The 14,240-nt window shown below is 37.6% G+C and overlaps 1 protein-coding gene across 7 annotated transcripts in view; it reads right to left on the bottom strand.

Moving 5' to 3' along the window:
- Nucleotides 1–14,240, bottom strand: part of STK32A (serine/threonine kinase 32A) — a 166,965-nt gene that overhangs the window by 126,601 nt on the left and 26,124 nt on the right. The window lies entirely within an intron of this gene.

The following is a 14,240-nucleotide window of genomic DNA, read 5'->3' as shown; positions in this document are numbered from 1 at the left end:
CACCACTGCACACCAGCCTGGGCAACAGGGTGAGATCCTTTCTCAAAAAAAAAAAAGTGACTGGAAGAGGTTCTCTTATTCAATCCTGACAGTCCCTTTTTAAATGTTCAACAAAAGAATCACTAGTTAGCAGGAAGACTAACTTGAAAATGCAACTAAACCTCATAAATTCAAACAAAATCAGAAAGAGAGAGAGAGAGAGAGATGAAGTCAGAATTGTGGATTATTTTGTCAACAGAAATCTAACAGTACTATAAACATACAGGATTTGCCTAAGGGGAATGTGGAATAGTGTACTCACTATGTTCTTAAACCCTTGATCAATAGGAACAGTAAATGCCAAACTGGACTTGCAATCTGTTTTTGTGTAGTCTATGAGCTAAGAATGGTTTTTGAATTTGTATAGGATTATTTTTGAAAACCAATGGATATGCAATAGAGAATGTATATAAACCCACAATATTTACTGGATGGCTCTTTACAGAAAAGTTTGATGACCACTGAGATTAAGAGCACAGTCCCTGAAGACAGACAACCTGAATTCAAATCTCAGTTCCAACAATAAATAGCTGTGTAATCTTGGAAATTTACGTCTATGCTTCCCTTTCTGCATCTATAAAATGAGGATGAAAATAATATATACTTCATGAGGTTTATAAGAAGATGAAATGGGTCATGTGCATAGAATATTGCCTGGAACTAACTGCTTTTACTAGTAGTGCTATTACTTCTTAAAGAGTATCATAGCTCCCAGCAAATACCACCTTAAGCTGCCATGGTAGCACCTGGGTATTATCAGGCAATATGGAGGTAAATGGAATCAGCATCATTTCAATACATTTGGGGTTTTCATAGTCTCTGGTGTGGTGTCCTTGCATTGTTTTCTCTAACCTCTAAAGCAAAGTTAACCTTAGTGGTGTTTACTTCTTGAGTCTTTTACTTGGATCATGTTCCAAAACTTTCATTCTGGTTCATGGAGCTCTGAGTGTTAAGAAGACAGAAAGACCGTCTGGAGACACTGGGTCTTTGTGGGGCCTTGAAGGTAGTGGTTTAGTGTGGGCAAAGGCAGAGCCTGGTTCTCACTCATGCTGACAGGGCTGGGCTAGGGTATGTGGCCTGCAAGAAAACAGGCAAAGGAGATGTAACTCTGAGGCCTTCCTTAAGTGCCTCAGTCCTGCTTCGCACAGGTCTTTTCATCCCAGCCTTCACAGCCATTGTATCTGTACAGTATCCTAAAAGTTGCCTGGAGGTATACCACGTTAACACACAAAGCTGAATGCACCTTAATGTTGTGATAATTACTTGGAATATTGAAAAAGTAAATATCTAAAAGTACTTATTTCAGAGTTTTTCTTTTGGGTGAGTACACATTCCTTCACTAATCAACCAGGCACAGACATTCTATATGTATGAGGGATCTGTTTATGAGGGTGGTCAGTACATGTTTCATTTTTATGTCACTTTCTATCTTCACATCCTTATAGTGTATACAGTTGAGGGTACTCAGGCTCAGAGAGATGAAATAATTTGTTATGGTTATAACCAGTATAGTGACATATTAATGTTGAGGTTAGATTTTAAAAACAGAAAGTAAGGCAAAGACTTGTTTAGTCAAAACTACACATAAAAATCCTTTAGAAATGTACCTTTTTTAAAACCAAGAAAGTTTTTCAAAAAGTCCAACAGACAATTCTATCTCCTTTGTGTGGGTACCCAATAAGGCTCATTAACTGCATCTAGGAACTATTATTCGGGAAAAAATAGTTTAAACACTAAAATCACACTCTGCTCATTAGCAAGTTTATATTCATTATAGTCACATGGAAAGTTAAGACCAACTATGTGGATAACTGGTTGAATGTTTTTGCAAAGCCATACCCAGTATTTGAGTGGAGGAGTGGGTAAAATCAACTCACCTGAGTCTGCCTAGTTGCACTCAGGTAAATTCAATATCCACCTTTCTCATTCTGGACCCAGGCTCTTAACCACTATTTTTATAGCAGTCATCTTAATGTTATTCTTATTGTATAACATACCTACCCATCCCAAAGGTAGAATCAGAGGAAACAAGGTGGGATTTCTTCCTGTCTCTTTTTAGAATTATATGTTGAATCAAGGTTTCCAAGTCTTTCCCTTAGCATAAACCATGCTGATTCTGAAACCCAGTGATGATACTTTTTATTTCCTTTGTTTTATTTCACTTACCATCTTCTCTGTCTCAACATGCTGTGCAATAAGCAATGTTAAAGGAAAGAAAAAAGGAAACCCTTTTTAGAGTCTGTTATAACACCCTGATGCTTGGAATTTCAGAGAAGACCCTTGTAGAAGGTAAGGCAGGAATGCCCTTTTTTTCTATTTTTGAGGTAAAAATCTTTGCAAAAGATTTTATTTTTTCTAAAAATTGATTCCAGCTTGAGCAAGTACCAAATCATGAACATAAGTGAGTCTATTGAGAACAGCACACCTTGCTGTTTATGTAAACCTTTCTACTGAACAGGCAACGAGGACACCAGCTGTGTAACCTTAGACTAGTTACTCAATCTTTCAAATAACAATGTCTCTGTCTGTAAAATGGAGCTAATTAAACCTAACTCAGCTGACTTTGAAGATGAGACATTATAAACCAGAAGCAAAATATCTGGTCCACTGAAAACTAAAAATTACAAATTTTTTTAAGTACAACAATTATTCAGTGAAAACTAAGCTATCTTCCTCTTCCAAGTTTGCAGTTCCAGTTCCATGAAGCAACCATTAACAAATCCTTGTGTACCCTTTAAGAGATTCTCTCTGCATATATGTACTCCTTCCTAACAGCAATAGTAACATACTATCATTCCAATAGGAGCATACATTGTTAAACCCTTTCTGTATAACACATTGCCTCTGTCCATTCATACCATCACATATAGATCTCATTATTTTTAAGTAGCTAATTTGTATTTTATTGTGTAAATGTACCATAAAATATTTAACTTATTGATGGATTTTGAAAGATGGTTTAATTATCTGTGATTGCTGAGTGCAGTGGCTAACGCCTGTAATCCCAGCACTTTGGGAGGCTGAGGCGGGTGGATGACCAGAGGTCAGGAGTTTGAGACCACCCTGGCCAACATGGTGAAACCCAGTCTCTACTAAAAATACAAAAATTAGCCGGGTGTGGTGGTGTGCGCCTATAATCCCAGCTACTCAGGAGGCTGAGGCAGGAAAATCCCTTGTGTCAGGGAACCTGCCCCTGATAGTCACGTAGGTTCTTTTCTATTTTCCCCAAGCATCAGCTGCATTGAAAAATAAAGGGACAGAGTACAAAAGAGAGAAATTTTAAGGCTGGACATCCGGGGGAGACATCACATGTCGGTAGGTTCCGTGATGCCCCCGAGCTGTAAAACCAGCAAGTTTTTATTAGGGATTTTCAAAAGGGGAGGGAGTGTACGAATAGGGTGTGGGTCACAGAGATCACGTGCTCCACAAAGTAATAGAATCACAAGGCAAATGGAGGCAGGGCAAGATCACAGGACCACAGGACTGGGGCGAAATTAAAATTGCTAATGAAGTTTCGGGCACCATTGTCATTGATAACATCTTATCAGGAGACAGGGTTTGAGAGCAACAGGTCTGACCAAAATTTATTAGGTGGGAATTTCCTCATCCTAATAAGCCTGGGAGCACTATGGGAGACTGGGGCTAATTTCATCCCTACAGTTTCAACCATAGAAGACGGCCACACCCAAGGGGGCCATTTTAGAGGCCCACCCTCAGGGGCACATTCTCTTTCTCAGGGATGTTCATTGCTGAGAAAAAGAATTCAGCGATATTTCTCCCATTTGCTTTTGAAAGAAGAGAAATATCGCTCTGTTCCTCCCGGCTCACCGGCGGTCAGAGTTTAAGGTTATCTCTCTTATTCCCTGAACATTGCTGTTATCTTGTTCTTTTTTCAAGGTGCCCAGATTTCATATTGTTCAAACACACATGCTCTACAATTTGTGCAGTTAATGCTAATCATCACAGGGTCCTGAGGCAAAATACATCCTCCTCAGCTTACGAGATGACAGGATTAAGAGATTAAAGTAAAGACAGGCATAGGAAATCACAAGGGTATTGACTGGGGAAGTGATAAGTGTCCATTAAATCTTCACAATTTATGTTCAGAGATTGCAGTAAAGACAGGCATAAGAAATTATAAAAGTATTAATTTGGGGATCTAATAAATGTCCATGAAATCTTCACAGTCCATGTTCTTCTGCCATGGTTTTAACCAGTCCCTCCGTTTGGGGTCTCTGACTTCCTGCAACACCCTTGAACCCAGGAGGCGGACATTGCAGTGAGCCAAGACTGTGCCACTGCACTCCAGCCTGGGTGACAGAGCAAGACACCGTCAAAAAAAAAAAAAAATTATCTATGATTACCAAAACTACTTTGAGCATTCTTGATGGGCTTCTGTGTCTGTTTACAAGCAAAGTTGATAAAAGTAGAAATGCTGGGCAAAGAATATGTTAATTTTCTAATTTTACAGATATTATTAACTGGCTCTTCAAAGATGTTGCATCAAATATTCTTGATACCAAAAACATATAAAAATAACTTTTTGTCCACCACCTTGCCAACACTACTACATTAACTGTTCTTCATCTGACAAGTGAAAAAGATTGAATTATTGATTTACTTTATTTCTTTAATGCTGAGTGAAGCTGCATATATTTATATGTGTATTTTTTCAGCAAACTGCTTTTGTATATATTTTACATATCTTTAATGAGTTATTAGATTTTTTGATATGTAAGCACACTTAAAAATGGTAAGTAAATTAACTCTGTTTAACATATCTCAGGAGTATTTTTTCTAGGTTGTCCATTTGGCTTTTGATTTTAAAAACTTTTAAAGCCAGGCTCAGTGGTTCATACCTGTAATTCTAGCACTTTGAGAGGCTGAGGCAGGAGAATCACTTGAGCCCAGGAGTTAGAGACCAGCCTGAGCAACATAGGGAGACTGTCTCAACAACAAAAAAATTAAACATTAGTCGAGTGTGGTGATGCATGCCTGTGGTCCCATCTACTTGGGAGGCTAAGATGGGAGGATTACATGAGCCCTTAAGCCTGGGAAGTCAAGGCTGCAGTAAGCTGTGATCGCACCACTGCACCCCAGCCTGGGTGACAGAGACCCTGTCTCAGATTTTTTTTCAGTAATGTAGTTTTAAATTTTATGTAGTTAAATGTATCAATCTTTTCTTGTTTGTCCTTCTGGGTTTGTGATTTTTATAGGATCTTTTAAACTTCAAGATTGTTAAAATGATGTATTTCTATTTAAAACCAATTGCTTTTGACACACATTTTTGCTGTCATTGCTGCTGCTTTCGTTTTTGAAATGTTTCTAGCATATAACCTTAGACTAAATTACATAATTGATATTCAATACATAGAATAAAAAGGTTTCCAAATTCCTAAGTTCCCAAAAAGTCATTCTGCTACTGCTTAAATTAAAAGTTAAAACAACTGATTATCTCCCTGTATGCAGTCACGCCATAGTGATTATTGAGTGTATGCTTTTAAGGTGCTTTGCAAGAATCTCCTCTTAAAGTAGGTCCTCCATATCTTGGTTATGTGGTTATTTGGTAAATATTTCACATATACAGCACATTAAATTCCAGTGCACTATATAGCCCCAGTTGATAGCAAATTAAACCAATGCAGTCTGAATAAGTTCAAGATAAGATAAATTCCAAGATAAGACCCAAATAAGATAAATTCCCCAGAGAGGAGGGAAAAAAAATCAAGTAAAAGTCTTGCATGCCTTTTTTGGCATGTTAATTTGCTATACAAATTTGCTGCTTAAACGTGACTCTCCTCAGTGCTATGATTCGCTAAAGGCAAAGTCAATTCGACATGGAAACAGTTACAGTTTGGTTGCCCACACGTCTGGCTTCTGCTTTCCAGTCCAGAGAGGATTTCATTTTTCTGTCTCAGTATAGCTGAAAGTCCTAGGTGCAGTAGAGGCTTTCCAAGACATTGCTCACTGAACTCAGTCTGTGTTCACTGACAACAACACACCATTACTGACTGCTTACTAAGTAACAGCCATTGTGCTAGGTGCTGGGAGAAAGAAGCCCAAGGTTGCCTGCCTTCAGGGGTCCTACAGTCTAGTGGAACAACAGAAAAATTCATAGTAGCTAACATCTAACATTTATATAAGGAATACCCATCATTATTCTAAATATGTTACATATATTATCCTAATTTTGCGCCAACTCTGAAACAGTATTACTATTATTGCCACGTTTTTAGGTGAACAAACTGCAACCCAGGGAAATTAAGTACCTTTCTCAAGGCCACAAAGTAGGTAAGTGGCAGAGTGGTAGAGTCCCACTCAAGTGGACTCCACAGCTGCCCTCCAACACTGTTCTTTACTGCATTCTATTAAACACACATAATCAATCTTGCACAAAAAAGTAGAATAAGCAGCACAGAGTTGGGTAAAGACCTGACTCACAACAATGTTCATATTTCTGCTTCTCCTCTTCTTATGCAGGTCTTTCATTTTTCACAGACCCTCTCTCACAACTCAGATCCCATCAACCACTTGCTGTCACTGTATCTGTCACTCATCATCTCTCACATCCCTAGCCAGATGCCTTGGTCTAGGATTGGAACTGTGACTCAGGCCATTCCAATCATTTTCACTCTGGATCTTCTGATCTTGAAATGCATATTCCCCCTCTGTCACAGGCTTCCAGAACATGAGAATGGAACTGGCTGAATGTAGAGAAAAAAGATCAGCACATCCAACAGGATAAAGCTGACATTTGGAATAAAGTAAAATCACAACATAAAGGGCTAAAGCTGATGGCATTAATGTGCCTGGCTCTATAACAATATAGATCCTATTTTGATTACTCTGCAGGCATCCCCAATATCCTTCTGATAATTTAATTTTTAACTTTTTTTTTACCAAAATAGATTCAAGTTCCAAGTGATATAAGCAGTGCTGCCATAGGGAGACCTGTAATGGGAGAAAGTAGCAGGAAAAGCCAACCTAGTCCAGGGAAATCCTGCAAAGCATCCTAGAGGAGATTATTACAACCTCAGAAGAATGTTGCAAGGGACTTGATGATCTATTCTTTCCTACAGATTTTCTTAATTTATCTCTGCATTGGATTATCAGGAAGGTAATTTCTCAGGAAAAGAGATGAAACATAAATAAATAACTGCAATATAACATAAATAAACAACTGCAATATAAAGTAGTGTATATGTATTGAGAGCCACATAAATGGTCCTGACGTGATTCTCAAGTGTGTCCACCCATCAAAATCACACAAATACATGTTTTTAAATTCAGATTCATTGGCCTTATCTGAATCAGATTCTCTGGAGGCTGGACCTGGGAATCTGTATTTTCAAAGATCCCATGAGGATTTTGTTAAAGGCTGCCTAGAACTAGTCTGCAGATGTTTATAGGAGTTCTAAGGTGGGAGAAATCTCTTCCTACTTTAGAAAATAAGAAAGCTTCAGGAATGGGCAGCATTTTAACTGGGTCTTGCAGAATGGGTTGGAGTTCCAAAGGTAGCCAGGCAGAGGAGGTCAGGGAGGATGCATTTAAAGTGACCCAAACCCTGAGGTGAAGAAGCTCTCAGTAGATAAGTATTTATATAAATGTTGACTCAATCAATTTCTTAGACTTCCCCCTCCATGTTGCCTCTATCCTTATGGGTTTGAAGCAATTTAATAAGTATCTGTAAATGATTAATGATAGAACTTCTGCTACCTGCACTGTGCCACATCTTAGGTCATAGTTAATAATTACATTACTGTCTATTAAGTAGCATATATACATCTATAGGCACTATCCAAATACCTTAATATACATTATCTTATTTACTTTTTACCAAAACAGCATGAGGTGGTAATATTATTATTGCTACTTTATAGATATGTTACATAAACCCAGAAAAGTTAAATTACCCAGGGTCAGGGTTTGGACTTAAATCTGACTTTTTGTGGCTCCAAGTTCCATGATTTTAATATTGTGATGAGTCCTAAAAGTTTCTGAATACATTATGGTGACTATGAGCATGAAACTCTGCTTTTGGGTTTGTCTGTACTACTTACTAGCTATGAACTTTAATTATTTACCCTCTGTGAGTTTCAATTTCTTCTTTCAATTTTGACCAGATACAATATACCTTCTAAGGTTATAATGAGGACTAGGTAAAATAAGCCATATCAAAGGTGCTTATCAACCATTTTTGGCAGAGAATAGGAACTCAATAATGTATAATTATTACTGCTATTTATGTTATTGCTATTGTTACCAGATGAATTACCTTTGTTTCAGCCCAGAATGTTGCCTGTTGGTTTTTTTTTTTTTTTGAGATGGAGTTTCAATCTTGTTGCCCAGGCTGGAGTACAAGTGCAATGGCACAATCTCGGCTCACCACAACCTCTGCCTCCCAGGTTTAAGTGATTCTCCTGCCTCAGCCTCCAGAGTAGCTGGGATTACAGACACGCACCACCATGCCTGGCTAATTTTGTATTTTTAGGAGAGGCAGGGTTTCTCTATGTTATCAGGCTGGTCTTGAACTCCCGACCTCAGGTGATCCGTCCACCTCAGCCTCCCAAAGTGCTGGGATTACAGGTATGAGCCATCACGCCCAGCCAATGTTGCCTCTCTTGCCAAAACATTAAGCAAAATAATGTTAGGACTTCACACAGGACCAACAGTGCCAAGAATATAGACTCCATGAAGGAAGACACTGGGTGTGTCTTGTTCTTCGCTATATCCACATCACCTAAAAACATTTTGGACGTATCATAGTAGGTGCATAATTAACTTTTTAAAATTAAGTTACAAAGGAATGAGGTATCATCATTAAAGTTCTACAGAAAAAGGATGGATTTGGGGAAAATTTTTCTATTTTCCTTTATGTTGATTTCTTAGCACATCATCATTTATAATATGTACCTTCTAAGAAAAGTCTTACCAACATGCTATTATCAAAGGACTTCTTAATGAGCTAGTCAATGAAGTCCTCATTTGAATGTTGTTCTAATATTACAGCTTCAGATTTCTCTGCAGATATTGGATTTACATCTTAAAAGCCTCACTCATCGACTTACTCACTCTTTGAGCTCAAAGCATTAAGAACTGCCACTGAGATTGTGGACTCCATCCGCTTCACAACCGCCAACTCTCCTAAGTGAGGACATGGATGAAAACCCTGTAGCAACTGAAGGATAATTAACAGTGGGAGTCAGAGGGTATTTGCTTTGTCAGGGCTGCATGATCTTTGAACAGAAATAAATATACCTCATTATGGCAACAGAAAGGTGCTGACATTAAATTACAGTCTACCGTATACCTGGTCAGAATAGAGATAGAATCAGTCCCTCTTCTAAGTTCGGCTGGCACTTTACCCATTTTTAAGAAGGAATATTGCGTGATTTGCCAAGGAAGGGTGAAAAAGGACAAATTGTAAGCACTGGTTAAAAAGAGAGCTCTTCTGCTGGATTTTACAATTCTCCATGAATGAGATGAATGTTTTGTCTGTCATGCTGCATTCTCAAATACAGTCAGTTACAAAGAAAGGCTCACTTACTCCCTTTTAAGATAGTCACACCAAGAAGATAAAGAAGCTGAAGTCACTTCCCTAGGAGCCACGGCTTTGCTGGCAAGTCAAACCAACAAACATTCATTGAGTATCTGTGTACCCAGGACTTTCCTAGGCACTGATGGAAAAACATAAGAAGCTTGGGACTCAGTCCCAGGACACTTACCCTCCCCAAGCAGAGAAGGAAAACTGAGTGTGCCTCATTTAGCAGTCTGACAAAACAAAACCTGAATAATCAAATGTCCCTTGTTTCATTTTTGTAACTTTATTTTATTTTGCTATAATCTATGTACCTTTGGAATCCATTCTCTCATCTTTCTAAAATTAGATGAATATGAATAAATGTATAGATAGACAAATAAGTAAACAAATAATGAAACCAATCAAGTGTTATTTTGTATGGTGTACAAAAGAGGCACTATGGACCTTCAGAGATGGGAGAGAATGGTGAGGCATGACAATTTTGCCTCTCGGATTTTAACGAAGATTGAATGCTTTGATGAAAGATAAAAATGGTTCACATCAGACAGACTTGCAGTGGAATCCTAGCTGTACCATTTACAAGATATTTGAAATTAGGAAATTTATCTGACTTTTCTGAGCTTCAATTTCTTGTTTACAATGAAGAGTATATATATAAATATATATAAAAATATATAAAATTGTATATATAATTGTAAGATATATATATATACACACATATATATAAAACGAATATGCTATCAGTATAAAAAATACAGCAAAGTATAAAGAAGAAAAACAAAACCATCTAAAGATAACCACGATTCATATTTTGCTCTATTTCAGTCTTTTTAATGTTTTCATTTTTTCAAGTTTTGTGTCCATAACTATCTATATCTTTATATAGCTTAAATAATCAAATAGTTCTAAAAGATTTGTTATTTTTTAAAAAGGAGAAAATGGCAGTCCTATGATCTACTTACCCCCCTTCTAATCTCTCCCAGCCAAGGAGCAACCACTTTTACCTCTCTTTAGATATGCATTGGGTGATCTCCACCATGTCCCTAAAGAGTATAATTTTATTGTCCTTTCTTTTTCATTTTAGGCATTAGTTATTGAATATTCAAGGTGGTAGATGGGGATTTAGCTCATGTTCTTGCTCCTTTGGTTTTATCCCAACATGCCTCCATCTTTCTAATACATCTGGCATAATAATTTTAATTAGATCAATATTCGGTATTTCCATTATTATGAATACAGAAATGGTAGGCTCAATTGGGTTGTAGTAAACTATGATTAGTTTTCTTTTCTTGCACAATTTTTGGCTTTCCCTGGAATTAGTAACAGTCTTGTTTACACATGTTGACTTTTCTACATCTCCTTCCCAATCCAATCCCAAACCCTTCTCCAGTTGTCTAGTTCCCTTTCATAATGCTCAGGTGCATCAGGCACATTGTCATCTTCCTGAAAATGTCTCTCCTCAGACATAATCCAGTCTGGACTATTTATCTCTATTCCTGCACAGCTGTCTTCCTGGGATTCCCTTCACCATCACCCTGGGGTTTTCCTTCATGCCTCTTTAAGGATAGATTCCTGGCTCTTGCATGCAGTGCCCCCTTCTTTCTTGTTTTACTGAAGCACATTTTAAAACAGCTTTGTAAGAAGGATTGCATGGGAGATATATTTTTTGAAATATTATATATCCATGAAAAATATTTTTATTGTATTCACACTTGACTAATAGTTTGGCTGACTATTGAATTCTAGGTTGGAAATTGTTTCCTTCAGAATTTGAAGGCTTTGCTCTTATCTTCTACCTTTCCACACATTGCTGTTGAGAAGTCTAGAGCTACTTTGATGCCTGATTCTTTTGATGTAACAGTTTTCTTCTCTAGAAACTTCTAGTCTCATATACTTGTGTTGAATGTTTTGATATGTTATGATTTATTCATTGTGCTGGGCATTTAATAGGCTCCTTTAATCTGAAAACTTATGTTCTTCAATTCTGGACTCTTTTTCTTAAAATATGTAATAATTATTGCCCCCTTCCATTTTCTCTTTCTCTCTTTCTATACCTATTATTTAGAAACTAGAACTTCTCACCTGGCCATTAAATGTTCTTATATTTACCCTTATTTTATATCTTTGTTTGCTCATTATTCTGGAAATTTTCTTTAAATATATCTTCTAAATCTTCTTTGGATTTTTCCATTCATGCTGTAATTTTTTTCCCAAAGCAAATTTTTGCTCTCCGAAAGCTATTTTCTTGGTATCTATTTTGTTTGTTTGTTTTTTGTCTGGTTATTTGTTTTTTGGTTTTCATAGCTTTCTCTTACCTTTCTTATACTTTTTGCTAACTTTTTCCCTGTTCATTTGTTTTAGTCTCTATCAGTCATATTAGAGGGCTTCCCCAAAAGCCTGAGAATCCTTGGTTGTCTGCTCATATTTAAGTGTGGAGACCTAAACCCCTGTTTGGACATTCTGAGTATGTGGCTCTTGCCAGCAATAAACTTCTATAGTGTTGCTTCTAGCTGCGGCCTGGATGTTGAATTAGAAAATCTCCAATGTTGATAATTTTAAATCTTCCTTCTTGGATTGGTCAAAATCTCCAGAAAATATTCTGTCGTTCTCTTTACTGGAGGGTGAGTCCTTGGCTGCCAGTATTATCAGAGCCAAGTGGGAAGAGGAGGCTGGGTGCCCCAGTATCCAGTATGCATTTATCTACCCGATCCCTCCATTTTCAGCAAGGCATCTTCTGCACTCAACTTCCCCACTAAGAAAACTTCTTCTTCAGAGGATAAACCATAGTATGGAGTGGAGAATTTTTTTTTGTCTTTTTCCAAGTTGGTAGAAGGGACATGACTAGTTTTTAAATAGATATCCAAACAATGTCATTTACTTTAGCTCTTCCCCTTCACCTCTAGCTCTAGAGGCACGTGACAGTGCCAATTCCCGAGTCTTTGGAGGGTTCTACGGCATGGGTCTGGTTATTTCTCACCTTCCCCTTCTAGAAGCTTAGGACTCAGTTATGTTGCTTCTAGTTCTCTGTCTCCTTTCCAGTTTCTGCAACGTTGATAGTGAAGCTCTTCTGCCTGTCTCTTCATCCTTGTGGGTTTAAATCTTAAGACAAATCCCTACCTGTCATATTAGGAAGATCTTCAGAAAGGAATGGATGTAGAAGAATGTGTTCTATTCAGCATCTTTCCCTAGAAGTCTTGTTTTTTTTTGTTTTGTTTTGTTTTTTCCTGATCTGTAAAATAGGTATAATGAATGATACCTACCTTACAGGAATGTGGTAGGTATTAAATGAGATAGCATATATTAAAAACATATCTAGAGTTTAGTAGGCACTCAATAAATGGGGGCTATTTTTGTTCTTTGAAGGATGAACTAACTATAGGAGCCAGAGGTACCAATCCCTTTATCATTCACTGGCTTTGTGACCTTTAATAGTGTTTTTAAAAATCATTTTTAGACATATATTCTCATTCAAATAAGGGGATCATAATAGTTTTCTGGTTTAAATCTCAGGATTATCTTAAGAGTCAAATTAGTAAGAGGATGAGTAAATATGAAGGGTAAAGCTCACTCTCCTTGAGCTTTGGAGGCAAACAGAAGTGGGGTGAGGATTCTGCCTCTGCCTCTTCCTGGCTGTGTGAACCAGGACAGGTTTTCTCACTTGCTGAATCTCAGTATCTGCTCTTTAATGTGGCTGACCATTTCTTCACCATTTGTGATGAGAATAAGACGAGATAACCCAAGAAAAGTACCACATTTCAAGACCTACTCTTGTACAGCATCGGTCACTCTCATTTAACCTCGCAAATGCCTCTCAAGTTTTCTCTCTGATTCAGTGCTAAGTTTTTAAAATTGAGGGTCCCCTATAAATGTATCCTAAGGCAACTATGAATCGCTGAGGATGAGCAGAAGCAGTCTTAGCTTGGGGGGGATAGCATGGACTCCTTTGGTGAATACATGCCTTTTCCAAAGAGAAAAAATAATTCAAATACACAAAATAAACTTTGTATATAATTTTCAGGGTTCCTCATAATCCTACTTGTGAATTCCATATTAAGAATTAGATTTCTTCTAAATAAAAGATGCTATGCTCTAAACCAAACTCCTAACATAAAACCCTAAGCATAAGCCTCCTTCAGTGTTAGATATCAGTTATAAATTTCTTTTCAAAGAATTAATATGTCAGTATGTTCAATTCTTTGCCTTCTACTTTTAAATTTAACTTCCTCGTAAAGCAACCTTTTTTGATTACCTACTCCACCCTGACTCATTCTGATCACCTACTCCACTCTAAGTCAGTCTGATTACCTGCTACCTGCTCTGCCCTGACTCCTGCCAAAGCACTCACCCCATCATTCTCTTTAAATTAGCCAATCAGAATTAGTTTAGTTTGTGCGGTCTAACCCTAGCCAACAGGGAGACAACACAGCAGCAAGGGCCACATGCATCAGAGATAAGAACCCCTTCCCCTCCCTTGTCCAAGTGTGCGCTTACCATTGTTCCATCTGTAAGGGCGCACCCTTCTATATAGAAGTACCTTGCTGGGCAGAGAATTAAAAAGAAAATTTTATATTCGAGTGCTATTCCTTTTGTGGCACTAAAACTTTATATATAACAATTGGGGGCTCTTCTGGGATTGCATTCCCCTCTGGGGGTGGTCTCT

This window comes from Homo sapiens, chromosome 5 (assembly GCF_000001405.40).
Source record: "Homo sapiens chromosome 5, GRCh38.p14 Primary Assembly".
Lineage (NCBI taxonomy): Eukaryota > Metazoa > Chordata > Mammalia > Primates > Hominidae > Homo > Homo sapiens.
Note: the sequence above shows the minus strand (reverse complement) of the source record. Positions and strands in the feature narration are given on the sequence as shown.